This window comes from Homo sapiens, chromosome 19 (assembly GCF_000001405.40).
Source record: "Homo sapiens chromosome 19, GRCh38.p14 Primary Assembly".
In the NCBI taxonomy this organism is placed as follows: domain Eukaryota; kingdom Metazoa; phylum Chordata; class Mammalia; order Primates; family Hominidae; genus Homo; species Homo sapiens.
In genome coordinates, this window is record NC_000019.10 from 48,950,021 (window position 1) to 48,967,158 (window position 17,138).

At 53.7% G+C, this 17,138-nt stretch overlaps 2 protein-coding genes across 11 annotated transcripts, besides 12 other annotated features; both read left to right on the forward strand.

Annotated features, from left to right (window-relative positions):
* Positions 32 to 326: an enhancer, noted in NCBI's record as "tiled region #12688; HepG2 Activating non-DNase unmatched - State 7:EnhWF, and K562 Activating DNase matched - State 6:EnhF". NCBI's record gives its function as "activates a minimal TATA promoter and a strong SV40 promoter by Sharpr-MPRA in HepG2 cells, with weaker activity in K562 cells {active_cell/tissue: HepG2 | K562}" and the evidence as "EXISTENCE:reporter gene assay evidence [ECO:0000049][PMID:27701403]".
* Positions 4,534 to 5,102: an enhancer, noted in NCBI's record as "H3K27ac hESC enhancer chr19:49457811-49458379 (GRCh37/hg19 assembly coordinates)". NCBI's record gives its function as "activates a minimal SCP1, AML or CMV promoter by ChIP-STARR-seq in naive and primed H9 embryonic stem cells {active_cell/tissue: H9 hESC(naive and primed)}" and the evidence as "EXISTENCE:reporter gene assay evidence [ECO:0000049][PMID:30033119]".
* Positions 4,850 to 4,999: a silencer, noted in NCBI's record as "silent region_10907". NCBI's record gives its function as "represses an Ori minimal core promoter by ATAC-STARR-seq in GM12878 lymphoblastoid cells {active_cell/tissue: GM12878}" and the evidence as "EXISTENCE:reporter gene assay evidence [ECO:0000049][PMID:35858748]".
* BAX (BCL2 associated X, apoptosis regulator) lies at positions 4,855 to 11,778 on the forward strand. 10 transcript variants are annotated; one of them, NR_027882.2, is made up of 7 exons: positions 4,855 to 4,942; positions 5,528 to 5,579; positions 5,667 to 5,813; positions 6,178 to 6,313; positions 10,219 to 10,316; positions 10,790 to 10,894; positions 11,512 to 11,778. NR_027882.2 is itself a non-coding variant. In NM_001291428.2 (6 exons), exons 1-6 carry the CDS (start codon positions 4,909 to 4,911, stop codon positions 11,652 to 11,654), a joined length of 666 nt encoding a protein of 221 aa, NP_001278357.1. In that variant the 5' UTR covers positions 4,855 to 4,908; the 3' UTR covers positions 11,655 to 11,778. The 10 variants fall into 10 exon arrangements, 9 of the variants coding, with proteins under 9 accessions (NP_001278357.1, NP_620116.1, NP_620119.2 ...); NM_001291428.2 differs by lacking the exon at positions 10,219 to 10,316 and having other exon boundaries at positions 11,463 to 11,778; NM_138761.4 differs by lacking the exon at positions 10,219 to 10,316.
* Positions 5,103 to 5,670: an enhancer, noted in NCBI's record as "H3K27ac-H3K4me1 hESC enhancer chr19:49458380-49458947 (GRCh37/hg19 assembly coordinates)". NCBI's record gives its function as "activates a minimal SCP1, AML or CMV promoter by ChIP-STARR-seq in naive and primed H9 embryonic stem cells {active_cell/tissue: H9 hESC(naive and primed)}" and the evidence as "EXISTENCE:reporter gene assay evidence [ECO:0000049][PMID:30033119]".
* Positions 5,120 to 5,329: an enhancer, noted in NCBI's record as "active region_14917". NCBI's record gives its function as "activates an Ori minimal core promoter by ATAC-STARR-seq in GM12878 lymphoblastoid cells {active_cell/tissue: GM12878}" and the evidence as "EXISTENCE:reporter gene assay evidence [ECO:0000049][PMID:35858748]".
* Positions 12,179 to 12,348: a silencer, noted in NCBI's record as "silent region_10908". NCBI's record gives its function as "represses an Ori minimal core promoter by ATAC-STARR-seq in GM12878 lymphoblastoid cells {active_cell/tissue: GM12878}" and the evidence as "EXISTENCE:reporter gene assay evidence [ECO:0000049][PMID:35858748]".
* Positions 12,179 to 12,748: a biological region, named in NCBI's record as "CRISPRi-FlowFISH-validated FTL regulatory element 2". NCBI's record gives its function as "regulatory_interactions: FTL".
* Positions 12,228 to 12,748: a transcriptional cis regulatory region, noted in NCBI's record as "intergenic|chr19:49465505-49466025 region (GRCh37/hg19 assembly coordinates) targeted for CRISPR interference". NCBI's record gives its function as "positively regulates FTL gene expression in K562 cells {active_cell/tissue: K562}" and the evidence as "EXISTENCE:mutant phenotype evidence [ECO:0000015][PMID:31784727]".
* Positions 13,688 to 14,188: a transcriptional cis regulatory region, noted in NCBI's record as "intergenic|chr19:49466965-49467465 region (GRCh37/hg19 assembly coordinates) targeted for CRISPR interference". NCBI's record gives its function as "positively regulates FTL gene expression in K562 cells {active_cell/tissue: K562}" and the evidence as "EXISTENCE:mutant phenotype evidence [ECO:0000015][PMID:31784727]".
* Positions 13,870 to 13,979: an enhancer, noted in NCBI's record as "active region_14918". NCBI's record gives its function as "activates an Ori minimal core promoter by ATAC-STARR-seq in GM12878 lymphoblastoid cells {active_cell/tissue: GM12878}" and the evidence as "EXISTENCE:reporter gene assay evidence [ECO:0000049][PMID:35858748]".
* Positions 15,119 to 15,278: a silencer, noted in NCBI's record as "silent region_10909". NCBI's record gives its function as "represses an Ori minimal core promoter by ATAC-STARR-seq in GM12878 lymphoblastoid cells {active_cell/tissue: GM12878}" and the evidence as "EXISTENCE:reporter gene assay evidence [ECO:0000049][PMID:35858748]".
* On the forward strand, positions 15,289 to 16,859 carry FTL (ferritin light chain). The gene is made up of 4 exons (NM_000146.4): positions 15,289 to 15,589; positions 15,750 to 15,896; positions 16,261 to 16,386; positions 16,563 to 16,859. The coding sequence occupies exons 1-4, from the start codon at positions 15,488 to 15,490 to the stop codon at positions 16,713 to 16,715; spliced, it is 528 nt and encodes a 175-aa protein (NP_000137.2). The 5' UTR covers positions 15,289 to 15,487; the 3' UTR covers positions 16,716 to 16,859.
* Positions 15,529 to 15,578: an enhancer, noted in NCBI's record as "active region_14919". NCBI's record gives its function as "activates an Ori minimal core promoter by ATAC-STARR-seq in GM12878 lymphoblastoid cells {active_cell/tissue: GM12878}" and the evidence as "EXISTENCE:reporter gene assay evidence [ECO:0000049][PMID:35858748]".

Here is a 17,138-nt window from a genome sequence, read left to right on the forward strand (position 1 = left end):
ATTAGTTCTTATAGGTTTGGGATAGGTGTACAAATTACATTCTCAAGAGTGGGGAGAATATTGCAAAGTACCTTCTTAAGTGGGGTGGAGGGGAGAATATATCATATCAGTTAGAGTGGGGCAGGAACAAATCACCATGGTGGAATGTCATCAGTTAAGGCTATTTTCACTTCTTTTGTGGATCTTCAGTTGCTTCCGGCCATCTGGATGTGTACGTGCAGGTCACAGGGGATATGACGGCTTAGCTTGGGCTCAGAGGCCTGACACTCACCACATGGCAGCTGGCTTTCCTTAAAGGAAGTGATCTGAAAGGGAACAAGGTGGAAGCTGTAGTGGCTTTTCTGACCTGTCCTGTGAAATCACACTCTGTCATTTCCACAATATCCTCTTGGTCACACTGTTTAGCCCTATTGAGTGTGGGCAGAGACCACACAGCAGCATGAATACCTGGAGGTGTGACTCCTCAGGTGCCATCTTGGATGTGGGCTTAATAGTTTTGATTCAGCATCTTTATTATTATAAAGAGTTTGGCTGGGTGCGGTGGCTCACGCCTGTAATCCCAGCACTTTGGGAGGCCAAGGCGGGCGGATCATGAGGGCAAGAGATCGAGACCATCCTGGCCAACATGGCAAAAGCCTATCTCTAATAAAAATATCAAAATTAGCAGGGCGTTGTCACACGCCTATAGTCCCAGCTACTCAGGAGGCTGAGGCAGGAGAATCACTTGAACCCGGAGGCGGAGGTTGCAGTGAACTGAGATCACACCACTGCACTCCAGCCTGGCGACAGAGCAAGACTCCGTCTCAAAAAACAAAACAAAGCAAAACAAAACAAAACACACAAAAAAGAGTTTTAGTCAGGCACAGTGACGCATGCCTGTAGTCCCAGCACTGTGGGAAACTGAGGCAGGTGGCTCACTTGAGCCCAGGGGTTTGAGACCAGCCTGGGCAACATGGCAAAACCCTCTCCCTACAAAACATACAAAATTAGCAGTGCATAGTGGCACACACGTGTAGTCCCAGCTACTCCAGAAGCTGAGGTGGGAGGATCCCTTGAGCCCAGGAGGTCGAGGTGGCAGTGAGCCACAGTTGTGTCATTGCACTCCAGCCTGGACGACAGAGGGAGATCCTGTCTCAAAATAAATAAATAAAAATAAAAATAAACAGTTTTGACTTCACAACTAGCTAAAAAGTGTATTCCCTCACTCAGTGACTGTACTGTTCAGAGGTGTATACCTGCATTAAAAGCCCTTTCCTTCCTTCTCTGTAACTGGAGTAGGGAAGGGCTATCTCATTGGACTGGAGTAACACACACAGATAAAGCCGGATGCAAAGTTAACAGGAAACACTATTTCTCTCAAGGATACGCTTTGTTTGTTTTTTTTTTGAGATGAAGTCTCGCTCTGTCACCCGAGGTGGAGTGCAATGGCACGATCTCTGCTCACTGCAGCCTCTGCCTCCTGGGTTCAAGTGATTCTCTGGCCTCAGCCTCCCAAGTAGCTGGGATTACAGGAGCACACCAGTACGCCCAGCTAATTTTTGTATTTTTAGTAGAGACAGGGTTTCACCATGTTGGCCAGGCTGGTCTCAAACTCCTGACCTCAGGTGATCTGCCTGTCTTGGCCTCCCAAAGTGGTGGGATTTCAGGTGTGAGCCACCACGCTGGCCAAGGACATGGTTTCTTACAGAGACTTTGTTCTCTAAATTCATAAATTGTTGGAAATTCTATCAGTAAAAATGAAACATCCGAGTCTTGCTGACAGGATCTAATCCACTTGATACAGAGTAGCAGCCTTGATTTCCAAAGCAGGTGCACAGCTTCAGATAAAGGGTTTCTGGATGCAACATTTCACATGTACCTTCTTGTTTCCAGCGATTCAGGACACTGGTTTCACTTCACAGTCCTGATCCAATGTTGACCTTGCTTTGCTCTAAGCTATCATTTGGTTGTCACCTAAGCTCTACCCTCCCCCTTTATCTTGGCTTTTTCTTTTCTTTTTTCTTTTTGAGACAGGCTCTTCCTCTGTCACCCAGTCTGATTGCAGTGATGCAATTGATCACAGCTCACGGCAGCCGGGACCTCCCAAGCTCAAACAATCTTCCCACCTCAGCCTCCCAAGTAGCTGGGACTACAGGCACGCACCACCACATCCAGCTAATTTTCTTTTTTTTCTGCTTCCTTTTCTTTTTGTTTTTTTTTAGATAGAGGCTTGCTCTGTTGCCCAGGCTGGGGTGCAGTGGCACGATCTTGGCTCACTGCAACCTCTGCCTCTTGGGTTCAAGCGATTCTCCTGCCTCAGCCTCCCAAGCAGCTGGGACTGCAGGCACGCGCCACCACTCCCAGCTAATTTTTTTGTATTTTTAGTGGAGACGGGGTTTCGCCATGTTGGCTAGGCTGGTCACAAACTCCTGACCTCAGATGATACACCCACTTCGGCCTCCCACACAGCTGGTATTACAGGTGTGAGCTACCACGCCCGGCCCCCCCTCCTTTCTTTTGTTTTTTAGTTGACACAGGGTCTCACCATGGTACAGCCCAGGCTGGTCCTGAACTCCTGGCTTCAGGTGATCCTCCTGCCTTGGCCTCCCAAAGTGCTGGGACTATAGGAATGAGCCATCACACCTGGCCCCTTTCTTCAATTTTCAAAACAAACTGATCCTTCAAGGTCAAGAGGAAATACCTCCTCTGAGAAGTCTTCTCTGAATGTCAGAGGCAGACAATGTCTGATTTCTGCATGCTCCCCAACATTCAATCATACAGTTATTGAATAACACATTTTGAGAGATAACTATGAATCAAGTAACATGCTGGTTTCTGGGAGAATTGAGGACAAATTAACCTTGTGGAAATTTTGGGTGGATGAAAAAAACCAACATGAAATTAAAACACTGCACACATTTACAGCTGTGAGAAGCATTACACATCCTGGGTGCTATGCGAGCTTTTTTTTTTTTTTTTTTTTTTTTTGAGTTGGAGTTTCCCTCTTGTTACTGAGGCTGGAGTGCAAGGTCACGATCTCAGCTCACTGCAACCTCTGCCTCCAGATTCAAACGATTCCCCTGCCTCAGCTCCCGAGTAGCTGGGACTACAGGTGCCTGCCACCACACCTGGCTAATTTAGAATTTTTAGTAGGGATAGGGTTTCACCGTGTTGGCCAGGCTGGTCTCAAACTCCTGACCTCAGGTGATCTACCCATCTCGGCCTCCCAAAGTGCTGGGATTACAGAAGTGAGCCACTGAGCCCAACCAGGAGCTTTTTCGAGAAAGAAGGAAGTCCAAGAGATCTTCCTGACACCCTAGTCTGACTCTGCCCTTTGCCTGCTCAAAATTTCCCCATGCTTCCCAGCGGCCTTCTGGACATAGATCAAGTCCCTTCTCTGACAGGCCCAAACCCTTTATCATCTGATCCTAGCTCATTTTTCTGAGTTTTCCTTAGTTGCTATTATTTTCTGTCTAAAGTGACATGTCATAATATTCATAAAGCACACAAGTCTTATGTGTACAGCTCAATGAATTGTAAATATGTGTATACCCGGCCGGGCACAGTGGCTCACGCCTGTAATCCCAGCACTTTGGGAGGCCGAGGCAGGTGGATCACTTGAGGTCAGGAGCTTGAGACCAGCCTGACCAACATAGTGAAACCCCATCTTTACTAAAAATACAAAATTAGCTGGGCGTGGTGTCGCATGCCTGCAATTCCAGCTACTTGGGAGGCTGAGGCAGGAGAATTGCTTGAACCCGGAGGCAGAGGTTGCAGTAAGCCGAGATCGTGCCATTGCACTCCATCCTGGGCAACAAGAGCAAAACTCCGTCTCAAAATAATAATAATAATAATAATAATAATAATAATAATAATGTGTATACCCATGTAAACACCATTCAGATAAAAATATGGCATATTTGGGGCACCCGGGGAGTGTCTCTTGTGGCCCCTCCCCTCCATACCCTGCTGATCTATCAGCACAGATTAGTTTCTGCCACTTTTTAAACTTCATATTCCTTTTCTTTTTACACAAACACAAACATTCGAGTCATGACTGGGTGGGGTGGCTCAAGCCTGTAATCTCAGCACTTTGGGAGGCCAAGGTGCGAGGATCGCTTGAGTCTGGGAGTTCAGAGACCAGCCTGGGCAACATAGAGAGACCTCATCTCCACATAAAAAGTTTTAAAAATTAACCAGGGGCGGTGTAGTCCCAGCTACTCAGGAGGCTGAGGTGGGAGGCTTCAGCCCGGGAATTCCAGACTGCAGTGAGCCATGATTGGGCCACTGCACTCCAGCCTGGGCAACACAGTGAGACCCTGTCTCAAAAAAAAAAAAAAAAAAAACAGGAAAAAACAAACAAACAGAAAAGCAGGCCTGGCGCGGTAGCTCATGCCTGTAATCCCAGCGCTTTGGAAGGCTGAGACGGGGTTATCTCTTGGGCTCACAAGTTAGAGACAAGCCTGGGCGTGGGCTATATTGCTAGATCCAGGTCTCTGCAAAAAACAAAACCACTCAGTTTTTAGTCATCTATAACGTCCTGCCTGGAAGCATGCTATTTTGGGCCTCTGAGCTTTTGCACTTGCTAATTCCTTCTGCGCTGGGGAGAGCTCAAACCCTGCCCGAAACTTCTAAAAATGGTGCCTGGATAAATGAAGGCATTAGAGCTGCGATTGGACGGACGGCTGTTGGACGGCGCCACTGCTGGCACTTATCGGGAGATGCTCATTGGACAGTCACGTGACGGGACCAAACCTCCCGAGGGAGCGAGGCAGGTGCGGTCACGTGACCCGGCGGCGCTGCGGGGCAGCGGCCATTTTGCGGGGCGGCCACGTGAAGGACGCACGTTCAGCGGGGCTCTCACGTGACCCGGGCGCGCTGCGGCCGCCCGCGCGGACCCGGCGAGAGGCGGCGGCGGGAGCGGCGGTGATGGACGGGTCCGGGGAGCAGCCCAGAGGCGGGGGTGAGGCGGGAGGCAGACGGGCGGGAGGAGGGCGAGCCCCCTCGCCGGCCCGTCCGGGATCCTTCCTACCGGCCTGGGGCTGTGCGATCTCCAAGCACTGAGGGGCAGAAACTCCCGGATCGGGCGCTGCCAGCCTCCAGTCCCCTCCGTCCTCGGAGGTTCCTGGCTCTCTGATCCCCGTGTCCCGATCCCTGCCTCTCTGGCGCTCTCGGACCCTCGAGAACCAGGGGATCTCGGAAGCCAAGCCCCCGGGCAGGCCCGGGCTTGTCGCCCGCACCACTTCCTGCCTCTGGCACTGGTGGGAGGGGCGGGTCTCGCCTCTGCCCCCTCAGGCCAGGGGTCTGGATGCATATAGCGTTCCCCTAGCCTCTTTCCCCGGGGAGAATGTAGGATACAGGCCCAGCCTCCTGGCCTTTCTCCATCAGGGACTCAGTTGTCTGGGCCCCCCCGTCACTTTATCTGCTAGGGTCCCAGAAGTCCAGGGTCCCCAGCTCTGTCCTCCCTCAGGGGCCGTGAGTCTCCACAGTCTCCTGATCCCCTAGAACCCAAGAGTCCAGGTACCTCTTCCCTTCCTTTCTCCTCTAGGGCCCACCAGCTCTGAGCAGATCATGAAGACAGGGGCCCTTTTGCTTCAGGGGTGAGTTTGAGGTCTGATTATTGTGGCACAGATTTGAGGAGTGACACCCCGTTCTGATTCTGCACCCTCACTCCATCCCCACTCTAGTTTCATCCAGGATCGAGCAGGGCGAATGGGGGGGGAGGCACCCGAGCTGGCCCTGGACCCGGTGCCTCAGGATGCGTCCACCAAGAAGCTGAGCGAGTGTCTCAAGCGCATCGGGGACGAACTGGACAGTAACATGGAGCTGCAGAGGTGTGGGCCCCTGAGGACCCAGAAGTCCAGCCACTGGGCTCCTTCAGGACACAGGACTCTCAGCCCCGCATTCTCCTCCTCCCCTAAGAACTAGGAGTCTGGGCCCCACAACTCAGCGCAAACATTCCGGACTCCCAGCCCTCCTCTCTGCCAGGATCTTAAAACCCTCCTTCAGGGAGTCATTTTTCCCACCTTCCTAAATGTCTGTCTTGTCCCCTTCCCTTGTCCCCCGTTGGCCTGTTGCTTTTCATTTCAGCCTGGCTTGGGGCTCAGTCTCCTTATCTTTAGTGTGCGGTGGATGCGGGAATTTTCCACCATCAGCCTGATGCCTGCTCCCCGGCACTGGTTCTCCTCTCTCCTGCAGGATGATTGCCGCCGTGGACACAGACTCCCCCCGAGAGGTCTTTTTCCGAGTGGCAGCTGACATGTTTTCTGACGGCAACTTCAACTGGGGCCGGGTTGTCGCCCTTTTCTACTTTGCCAGCAAACTGGTGCTCAAGGTGGGCAGCTGCAGGGCAGTGAGCCCAGGGATGCTCCCCCTCAGATCTGTGAGGACCTGGGGATCGTGGTATCAACCCCCTGCAGTGGCCCAGTGACCACAGAGGGCATGGAGAGAGATGGCTGTGCACTGGGTGTCTGCTCCTTCTTTTATTCATTCAACAAGCATTTACTGGACCTGCTATGTGCCAGGCCTATACCTGGCACCTGGGACACAGCACTGTACAAAGCAGGCTACATCCCTGCTCTCAGGGAGTTCACGTGCAGGGGTGAAGTAAAGTGGGCAGTGTGATTTAGCAGAGTGGTCAGGAAAGATTTCTATTTTTTTTTTTTTTTTTTTTGAGATGGAGTTTTGCTCTTGTTGCCCAGGCTTGAGTGCAATGGCATGATCTTGGTTCACTGCAACCTCTGCCTCCCAGGTTCAAGCGATTCTCCTGCCTCAGCTTCCTGAGTAGCTGGGATTATGGGTGTGCACCATTATCCCTGGCTTTTTTTTTTTTTTTTTTTTTTTTTGTATTTTTAGTAGAGACGGGTTTCACCATGTTGGTCAGGCTGGTCTTGAACTCCTGACCTCAAGTGATCCACCTGCCTTGGCCTCCCAAAGTGCTGGGATTACAGGCATGAGCCACCGCAACAAGCCAGGAAAGACTTCTAAGGGCAGGTGACATCAAAGAGCAGGTGACATTAAAGCCAAAGCTAGAATGATAAGAAGCATGCAGTGATCTATAGTGATCGGGGGGAAGAGGCATCTGGTAGAGGGAACAGCAAGTGCAAAGGCCCTGAGGTAGGACCAAGCCTCATCTTTTGACAGTAGGGAGGAGGCCAGTGCTGTTGGAACAGAGTGAACTGGGGAGAGGGTGGGAAAGGAAGGCACAGTTGGGCAGGGGCAGATTGTGTGGAGTTTTTCGGGCTGCTGGAAAGACTTTTTCTTTTCTTTTTTTTTTTTTTTTTTTTTTTTTTTGAGACAGAGTCTCACTTTGTTGCCCAGGCTGGAGTGCAATGGCGCCATCTCGGCTCACTGCAACCTCTGCCTCCCGGGTTCAAGTGACTCTCATGCTTTAGCCTCCCAAGTAGCTAGAATTACAGGCACACACCACCATGCCTGGCTAGTTTTTGTATTTTTAGTAGAGACGGAGTTTCGCCATGTTGGCCAGGCTGGTCTCAAACTCCTGGCCTCAAGTGATCCGCCCACCTTGGCCTCCCAAAGTGCTGGGATTACAGGCGTGAACCACTGCACCCAGCCTGGAAAGACTTTAACTTTACTCTGAGTGTGATGGGAGTGATTGGCTGGTTTTAAATACGGAAGCGACAAGACCTGATTTATAACTTTAAGAGATTATTCTAGCAAGTATAGATGCCCCTTGACTTGCAATGGTGTTACATCCTAGTAATCCCATCATAAATTGAAAATAACATAAGTTGAAAATGCATTCAATGCCCCGATAAACCCATAGTAAGGTCAAAATTGTAAGTCAAACCGTCATAAGTTGGGGACTGTCTGTATAGCAAAATGTTAATTGTAGAATCTAATTATAGGTGGCGGCTATATGGCTTTTAACTGTGAAATTCTTTTAACTTTTCATTATGAAGATTCTCATAAGAAAATGTGGTGGGGGTGGTGGTGAAATGCTCCTGGCTGTTGTTGGCCAAAAGAGATCATGAGGCACAAGGGCAGAAGCGAGGATCCTGGAGAGGTGGCACCTGTCATAGTCTTGCTGAAAGATGACAAGCCCTGGTGGTAGCAGCAGAGGTGCGGGGGGGGCATTTTTTTTTTTAAGAGGTAGGGTCTTGCTCTGTTGGCCAGGCTGGAGTGCAGTAGTGATCATAGCTCACTGCAGCCTCAAACCGCTGGGGTCAAGCAGTTCTCTCGCCTCAGTCTCCAGAGTAGCTGAGACTACAGGAGCATGCCACCACGCCCCACTAACTGTTGCATTAGTCTTTTTCTATAGAGACGGGGTCTCGCTATGTTGTCCAGGCTGGTCTCCAACAGGGAGGGATATTTCTTTTTGGAAGATTTTTTTTTTTTTTTTTTTTTTTTTTTGATACAGGGTCTCGCTCTGTTACCAAGGCTGGAATGCAGTGGCATGACCTTGGCTCACTGCAGTCTCCACCTCCTGGGTTCAAGCAATTCTACCTCAGCCTCCTGAGAAGCTGGGATTACAGGCTCTCCCCACCACACCAGCAAATGGGAGGGATATTTCTTTCTTTCTTTCTTTTTTTTTTTTCCTGAGACGGAGTCTCTCTCGGTTGCACCCAGGCTGGAGTGCAGTGGCGCGATCTCAGCTCACTGCAACCTCCACCTCCTGGGTTTAAGCGATTCTCTTGCCTCAGTCTCCCGAGTAGCTTGGGATTACAGGCGTCCGCCACCACACCCAGCTAATTTTTGCATTTTTAGTAGAGATGGGGTTTCACCATGTTGGCCAGGCTGGTCTCGAACTCCTTACCTCAGGTGATCCGCCTGCCTCGGTCTCCCAAAGTGCTGGGATTACAGGCGTGAGCCACCGTGCTCAGCTGAGAGGGATATTTCTTGATGTGTTTTCAAGATTGAGCTGATGGGGCCTGAACGTCCGAGATGAGGGGAATAGCAGTGCAGGTGATGGTGGCACCACCTACAGAGCGGGGATGATAGAATAGAAGTGGCCAGATAAAGGCTGCAGGAGAAGTCTTGGGAGTTGGGAGAGCAGGTCGGGGTCCATGGTCAGGGGTTGATCTTCTCTGGTCCAGAAAAGTCCTCTCTGGCTGGGCGTGGTGGCTCACGCCTGTAATCCCAGCACTTTGGGAGGCCGAGGCAGGGGGATCATGAGGTCAGGAGATCGAGACCATCCTGGCTAACATGGTGAAACCCCGTCTCTACTAAAAATACAAAAAATTAGCCGGGCATGGTGGTGGGCACTTGTAGTCCCAGCTACTCGGGAGGCTGAGGCAGAAGAATGGCGTGAACTGGGAGGCGGAGTTTGCAGTGAGCTGAGATTGCACCACTGCACTCCAGCCTGGAGCGACAGAGTGAGACTCCGTCTCAAAAAAAAAAAAAAAAAAAAAAGAAAAGTCCTCTCTGGGGAAGTGACATTTGCCCTGAGAGCTGAAGGGTAAGAATTTGCTTCGTCGAGGCCTGTTTAGGCGGAAACAGGAGTACATGAAGAAGTCCCGAGGCAGGAAGAATTTGATGGGAATTTAAAAAATTAAAAAAAAAAAAAAAAATGGGGCTGGGCATGGTGGCTCACACCTGTAATCCCGGCACTTTGGGAGGCTGAGGCATGCGGATCACCTAAGGCCAGGAGTTTGAGACCAGCCTGACCAACATGGTGAAACCTTGTCTGCACTAAAAATTCAAAAAAAAAAAAAAAAATAGCCCGGTGTGGTGGCGGATGCCTGTAATACCAGCTGCTTAGGAGGCTCAGGCAGGAGGATCACTTAAATCTGGGAGGCGGAGGTTGCAATGAGCCGAGACTGCACTATTGTACTCCAGCCTGGGCAACAAGATCAAAACTCTATCTCAAAAAAAAAAAAAAAAATTAGCCAGGCATGTTGGCAGGCACCTGTAATCCCAACCCTTTGGGAGGCTGGGGCAGGAGAATTGCTTGAACCCAGAAGGCAAAGCTTTCAGTGAGCCGAGATTGCGCCACTGCACTCCATCCTGGGTGTCAGAGCAAGACTCCATCTTAAAAAAAAAAAATGGAAGCAGCTCAGCGAGGCACAAAACAGGAAGTGGAAAGGTGGAGTGAGGTCAGGCCAAAGCCTGCACACAGGGCTTGTGGGCTGCACTGTGCCTTCGGGTCTTCATCCTGAGGGTACTGGGGAGCCACAGAAGGCTCAGGGGTGGGGCAGTTGAGAGTAACATTATCTTGTTTACAATTTTATTTTTTTTATTTATTTATTTTTTGAGACGGATTCTTGCTCTATTGTCCAGGCTGGCGTGAAATGGCGTGATCTGGGCTCACTGCAACCTCTGCCTCCTGGGTTCAAGCGATTCACCTGCCTCAGCATCCCAAGGAGCTGGGATTACAGGTGCCTGCCACCACACCCAGCTAATTTTTGTATTTATTTATTTTGAGATGGAGTTTTGCTCTTGTTGCCCAGGCTGGAGTGCAATGGCGCAACCTCGGCTCACTGCAACCTCCGCCTCCCGGGTTCAAGCAATTCTCCTGCCTCAGACTCCCAAGTAGCTGGGATTACAGGCATGTGCCACCACGCCCGGCTAATTTTGTATTTTTAGTAGAGATGGCATTACTCCGTATTGGTCAGGCTGGTCTTGAACTCCCGACCTCAAGTGATCCGCCTGCCTTGGCCTCCCAAAGTGCTGGGATTACAGGCATGAGCCGCCGCACCTGGCCATGTTTACAATTTTTGAAGCCGACTTCAATTGTGGGTGGCAGAAATCTTTGAGGGGAGGCAAAGAATTGACAAAGGAGGTTTGGGGCCACTATCTCCAGGCAGTGGGGACAAGGTTCAGTCCCTAACGCCCACTCCACTCCCCACAGGCCCTGTGCACCAAGGTGCCGGAACTGATCAGAACCATCATGGGCTGGACATTGGACTTCCTCCGGGAGCGGCTGTTGGGCTGGATCCAAGACCAGGGTGGTTGGGTGAGACTCCTCAAGCCTCCTCACCCCCACCACCGCGCCCTCACCACCGCCCCTGCCCCACCGTCCCTGCCCCCCGCCACTCCTCTGGGACCCTGGGCCTTCTGGAGCAGGTCACAGTGGTGCCCTCTCCCCATCTTCAGATCATCAGATGTGGTCTATAATGCGTTTTCCTTACGTGTCTGATCAATCCCCGATTCATCTACCCTGCTGACCTCCCAGTGACCCCTGACCTCACTGTGACCTTGACTTGATTAGTGCCTTCTGCCCTCCCTGGAGCCTCCACTGCCTCTGGAATTGCTCAAGTTCATTGATGACCCTCTGACCCTAGCTCTTTCCTTTTTTTTTTTTTCCCCACTGAGAAGGGGTCTCGCTATGTTGCCCAGGTTGGTCTCGAACTCCTGGCCTCAAGCGATCCTCCCGCCTCAGCCTCTCAAAGTGCTGGGATTACAGGTGTGAGCCACCATGCCTGGCCTGAGTCCAGCTCTTTAATGCCCGTTCATCTCAGTCCCCTGCCCGCAATCCTGCCTTCTGGCCTCCTCCGTCCCTGATCCCGCCTCTGCCTGCCCAGGGGCTGCCCCTGGCCGAGTCACTGAAGCGACTGATGTCCCTGTCTCCAGGACGGCCTCCTCTCCTACTTTGGGACGCCCACGTGGCAGACCGTGACCATCTTTGTGGCGGGAGTGCTCACCGCCTCACTCACCATCTGGAAGAAGATGGGCTGAGGCCCCCAGCTGCCTTGGACTGTGTTTTTCCTCCATAAATTATGGCATTTTTCTGGGAGGGGTGGGGATTGGGGGACGTGGGCATTTTTCTTACTTTTGTAATTATTGGGGGGTGTGGGGAAGAGTGGTCTTGAGGGGGTAATAAACCTCCTTCGGGACACACTTCGGCATCTGAGTCACTGGGCCTCTGCCCCGCTCCCCGGCACGTCAGGAGAGCAGGCCCTGTCCGCTGCCCCACGCCGGGCCCGCCGTCTGCTGGCCTAGAGATACCTGCTTGGGCCACTCAGGGACGTGGGGCTCTCTGCACTCACTTGACATCTTTTTCTGGGGTGCCCTGTGGGGTCTGTGGGTTAGGGATGAGTTGGTCCTGGGCCTGACCTGCAGGAGCTCACGGGAAAGGAAAAGAAGGGAGCTCACGGGAAAGGAAAAGGGAGCTCACGGGAAACGAGGGTGATAGGTGGTACATCTGTCGCAGCCCAGGATGATCTGTGCGGGACAGAGGCAGCGGCCTGTGAGGCCCAAGCAGGCGTGTGGGTAAGGGAAGAACAGCACGGCCGGCTGCAGAGCAAGCCTCCTCGGCCCGGGGACCACAGCCTGGCGTGTCACACGTGGGACCTCAGGAGGCCATACCTTTACCGAGCTGGAGAATGGGAGTGGGGGGAGGAGGGATGGGAGGACCAGAGGAGCAGGAAGGGCTCTGGAGCCTGGTGGTGAGGTCGCTGGAGGGTGGCAGGCTGAGGACACCAGGGCGAGGGCCCACGGGAGAGGCCTCCTGAGCTGGGCTGAGGACAGAGAGGAAGGGACCTGGCTGGCGACTGAGAGGCTGGAGGGCAGGGCAGAGGAGGAGGAACCTGGTCTGGCCCCACAGCTGGGTGGGGCCCCCCTGGAGAGGAACTGCCGGAAGAAGGTGCTGAGCTCAGAGGCCCAGTGACCTTAGACACAGGCGGAGCGAAGACAAGGGGGCTAGAGGATGTGGGTTCTCAGTCACAGGGTCTCTGGCACCCCCCTCTGGGTCTTTACCCCCTCCCATCTCTGGGTCTCTGTCCCCATGCTCTGGGTCTTTGCTTTCCGAGCCTCTGTTCCCACCCCACCTTTGGCCCTCTTTCTCTGGGCCTCTTTCCACCCCTGGCACCCAGACCTCTGGCCCCCTCTCTCTGGGTCTCTGTCCCCCCCTCTGGATCTCTGGCCCCCCATCTCTCTCTGGGTCTGTCCCCCGACCCTGAGTTTCTGTCTCCCTCTCTCTGGGTCTCTGTCCTCTCTCTGGCTGTCACTCTCTCTTGGGTCTCTGTACCTCCCCTCTCTCTGGGTCTCTTTCCCTCTCCCCGGTCTCTGTCCCCCGCCCCCGGGTCCCTGTCCCCGCCCCCCCAGGTCTCAGTCCTCCCTAGTCTCTGTCCCCTTCTCTCTGAGTCCCTGTCCCCCCTCTCTCTGGGTCTCTGTACCCCCTTCTCTGGATCTCTGTCCCCACCTCTCTCTGGATCTCTGTCCCCCACTCTGGATTTCTGTCCCCTCCCGCCGGGTCCCTCTGGGTCTCTATCCCCCCCACCCCTGGGTCTCTGTACCTCCCTGCCTCTGTCCCCCCCCACCTCTGTCCCCCCCTCTCTCTGGGTCTCTTTTCCCCTCCCTCTGGGTCTCTGCCCTCCTCTCTCTAGGTCTGTCCCCCTCCCCTCTCTCTCAGGGTCTCTGTACCCCTCTGTCTCCGGGTCTGTTTTCCCCTCTCTCTGGGTCTCTGTCCCCCTCTCTCTCAGGGTCTCTGTCTGAGTCTCTTTTTCTCTGGGCCTCTGTCTCCCCACCCCACGTTCTCTATGGTCTTCAGATCCTGTCTCTCTCAGCCCCTCCTCTCCCTCCACCTATGGGCCCCAAGGCCCCTCTCGGCCGACTAAAGGTCTCTGGGCTGAGGTATGACATTTGGTAAATGAGTAACTCGGGCCCCACAGTCAACGGGGTGCTTTGGACGGCTGCCCCTCCTCCATGGACTCTTCCCAGAGACCCCAAGTCAGGGGAGAGAGAGGGGCAGAGGATCAATGAGTGTACACTGAGCCACCACCCAGAGTGAGGGGACAATATGGCCACAGGCAGGATCCCAGAAAAAAAAAAATTATGGGAACCAAAAAGACACGGAGACAAAGCACACAGCCGGCTTCCAACAAGGGGGGACCTTGGGGTAGGGGGCCCGATTTGGGTCTGAGCCAGGTCTAGTTCTGAGGGTCCCACCAAAAAAGTCGGGGAGTGCCAAGGGGATGAGGTCAGCGAGTGGCCCCACCCCCATCCGTCCCCGCGGGGGCCCCTTCCCGCGCTGAGCTCAGCATGACTCAGCAGTCGCTGCCTGCAACAAGGACCCCAGATACCGGCCTGGCGGGGCATCTGCAGATCCCCTCGGTCAGGGGCTGCCCCGCCTGGGCTGTTCGGAGCAGCTCCTCTGTAGGGCAGGGCCTGACCTCACCCCACACCCCAGTGGCTTCAGCTCCCTGCCCAGCGCACGGGCTGCCTCCATCAGGGCACTTAAGTAGAGTCAAGGTTTGCGCCGACTCCGTCTCCCAGAAATCAACGTGGACCAGGCCCACTTAAAAAATATGCATTAGTCGAAGACAGACGTCTCGTCCATAGGTCCCCAGACTGTTTGTCCACAACGCAGGGCTTCTCTTTGTGGGCCTGAAGGAGCACACGTCAGGCAAGACACGAGGGCAACTTCAGAGACACTGTTCAGGGCCACGGAGAATTCTCGAAGTCTGTGAGTTGTCTCCAAAACAGCCTCCAGGAAATGCAATCCCAGAGACACCGCAAAGCTCAAAACAGACTTTTCATTCCTCCCCATTTCCACTCCCAGAAAAAGCCTGGGCCCCTGAAAGAGCTCCAAGGTATCCCCAAAGTCCCAGCCCATCTTTGGAGGGTTCCAGAGGGCTGTCCAGGGTTCCAGAAGTCACCCTACCTCATACAATGCTCCTCCTGGGCTTCCCGCACTGGGTGAAACCCACGGCTCCAGAATAACTGCCCTTTCCAACTTGCAGAGCACCTCAAGAACCTAAAGATTTCCCCGGGGAGGGCTCCAAAATATAGAGAGTTTGCATCGTGAACCCCCACCCCTGTAAATCCCAGGACTCCAGTCCCCGCAACACTCCATCTTCCAGAGATCTCCAGGGGTCCAGAAATAACACCTCACAGCCTTCCAAGCTTCCCAAGGATCCGGAGACTCCTTATCTCGCAGCGCAAACCTCAGGCAACTACAGGTCCTCCCTGCACCTTTGAGGTGCCCCTCCCCCCACTCAAGGTTCCAGAAAAATCCATGCCCTCGGAAACCCCAGAATCTTACTTTCCCGAGGCACCCCAGGACCCCAGGGTCATCAGTTCACAGGGCTGTTAGTGCTCCCATAAAACTCTAGCCTCCCAGAGGGACCCCAGCCCCCACCCTCCCGCCCACGAACCCCTGCATTTCCAGAATCAGCCCCAGGGCCCCAACCCCCCCAAGCCCCCATTTCACAACACGCTGGCGCTACAGGCGCGTGACTTCCCCTTGCTTTGGGGCGGGGGGCTGAGACTCCTATGTGCTCCGGATTGGTCAGGCACGGCCTTCGGCCCCGCCTCCTGCCACCGCAGATTGGCCGCTAGCCCTCCCCGAGCGCCCTGCCTCCGAGGGCCGGCGCACCATAAAAGAAGCCGCCCTAGCCACGTCCCCTCGCAGTTCGGCGGTCCCGCGGGTCTGTCTCTTGCTTCAACAGTGTTTGGACGGAACAGATCCGGGGACTCTCTTCCAGCCTCCGACCGCCCTCCGATTTCCTCTCCGCTTGCAACCTCCGGGACCATCTTCTCGGCCATCTCCTGCTTCTGGGACCTGCCAGCACCGTTTTTGTGGTTAGCTCCTTCTTGCCAACCAACCATGAGCTCCCAGATTCGTCAGAATTATTCCACCGACGTGGAGGCAGCCGTCAACAGCCTGGTCAATTTGTACCTGCAGGCCTCCTACACCTACCTCTCTCTGGTGAGTCCCCAGGACGCCCCTGGCCCTAATTTCCTCCAGCTGCGCACCTCCGGCCCTCACTGCACGCGCCAGCCTTCTTTGTGCGGTCGGGTAAACAGAGGGCGGAGTCCCCTTGGCCTCGCCTCCCGCTAACCATTGTTGCCTCCATCTCTTCCCGTAGGGCTTCTATTTCGACCGCGATGATGTGGCTCTGGAAGGCGTGAGCCACTTCTTCCGCGAATTGGCCGAGGAGAAGCGCGAGGGCTACGAGCGTCTCCTGAAGATGCAAAACCAGCGTGGCGGCCGCGCTCTCTTCCAGGACATCAAGGTAACTAGTGTGTGGGTAATGGACTACATCTCCCAGCAGGCCGTGCGCGCGAGGAGCCTTGATTTGAGGGCGTAGGTGTCGCGTGGGCTTCTGGGAGATTGAGTTCGGTCTTGTGAGCCCTCTTAACCGCTGGAAATAGAGGCGCACCTCGTGCAGTGCCCACAACACGCGGCAGTCCACACCGCTGCGTGGTCTTAGGGACGTATAGCTGTAAGAGCTAGGACAGGGTGCGGAGAGTGATAAATACAAGCTGTCACATGTCTTTGTGGCCTGGGCCTCTGACCCCCAACGACTCTTGGGAAATGTAGGTTTAGTTCTATGTGCCGAGTGTGTGTATTCTGAGCCATTTCTCCCTTCTATATAGAAGCCAGCTGAAGATGAGTGGGGTAAAACCCCAGACGCCATGAAAGCTGCCATGGCCCTGGAGAAAAAGCTGAACCAGGCCCTTTTGGATCTTCATGCCCTGGGTTCTGCCCGCACGGACCCCCATGTACGTACCCGCTGCATCCATGGCTACCCAACCATACCCCTCAAGCCTCTGCTCCCTTTGGGCAAATTTCCTTCAGAGCCTCATTTCACACCTGTCACATTTTAATCTGCAACTGGCTGCTCTCTCCCCCTCTTTTCCAGGGATTGGGTTTCTAATTTCTCCCTCTTCTCTCTCAGCTCTGTGACTTCCTGGAGACTCACTTCCTAGATGAGGAAGTGAAGCTTATCAAGAAGATGGGTGACCACCTGACCAACCTCCACAGGCTGGGTGGCCCGGAGGCTGGGCTGGGCGAGTATCTCTTCGAAAGGCTCACTCTCAAGCACGACTAAGAGCCTTCTGAGCCCAGCGACTTCTGAAGGGCCCCTTGCAAAGTAATAGGGCTTCTGCCTAAGCCTCTCCCTCCAGCCAATAGGCAGCTTTCTTAACTATCCTAACAAGCCTTGGACCAAATGGAAATAAAGCTTTTTGATGCAGCTGGTGGTTTTGTGTGTGGTGTGGAAGATGAGGTGGGATCTGTTCTCATAAAGCTTCTGGCTGGGTTGGGATGCCAGTGAAAGAGGAGTTGGCCCCATCTCCCATTTTCTTAACTGTCCTAAGACAAGAGGCTATCTGGGTAGTGTTGAACCTGAGGGTTCTCTGCTTGCCTGGCTGTTAACTGTCCCTCCCAGATGGTAGAGATAGACTCCAGGGAGTTGAATTAAGACCTAGGTTGGTATCTAGAAACAGATGTTAGGTCTCAGCCAGAAACAGCC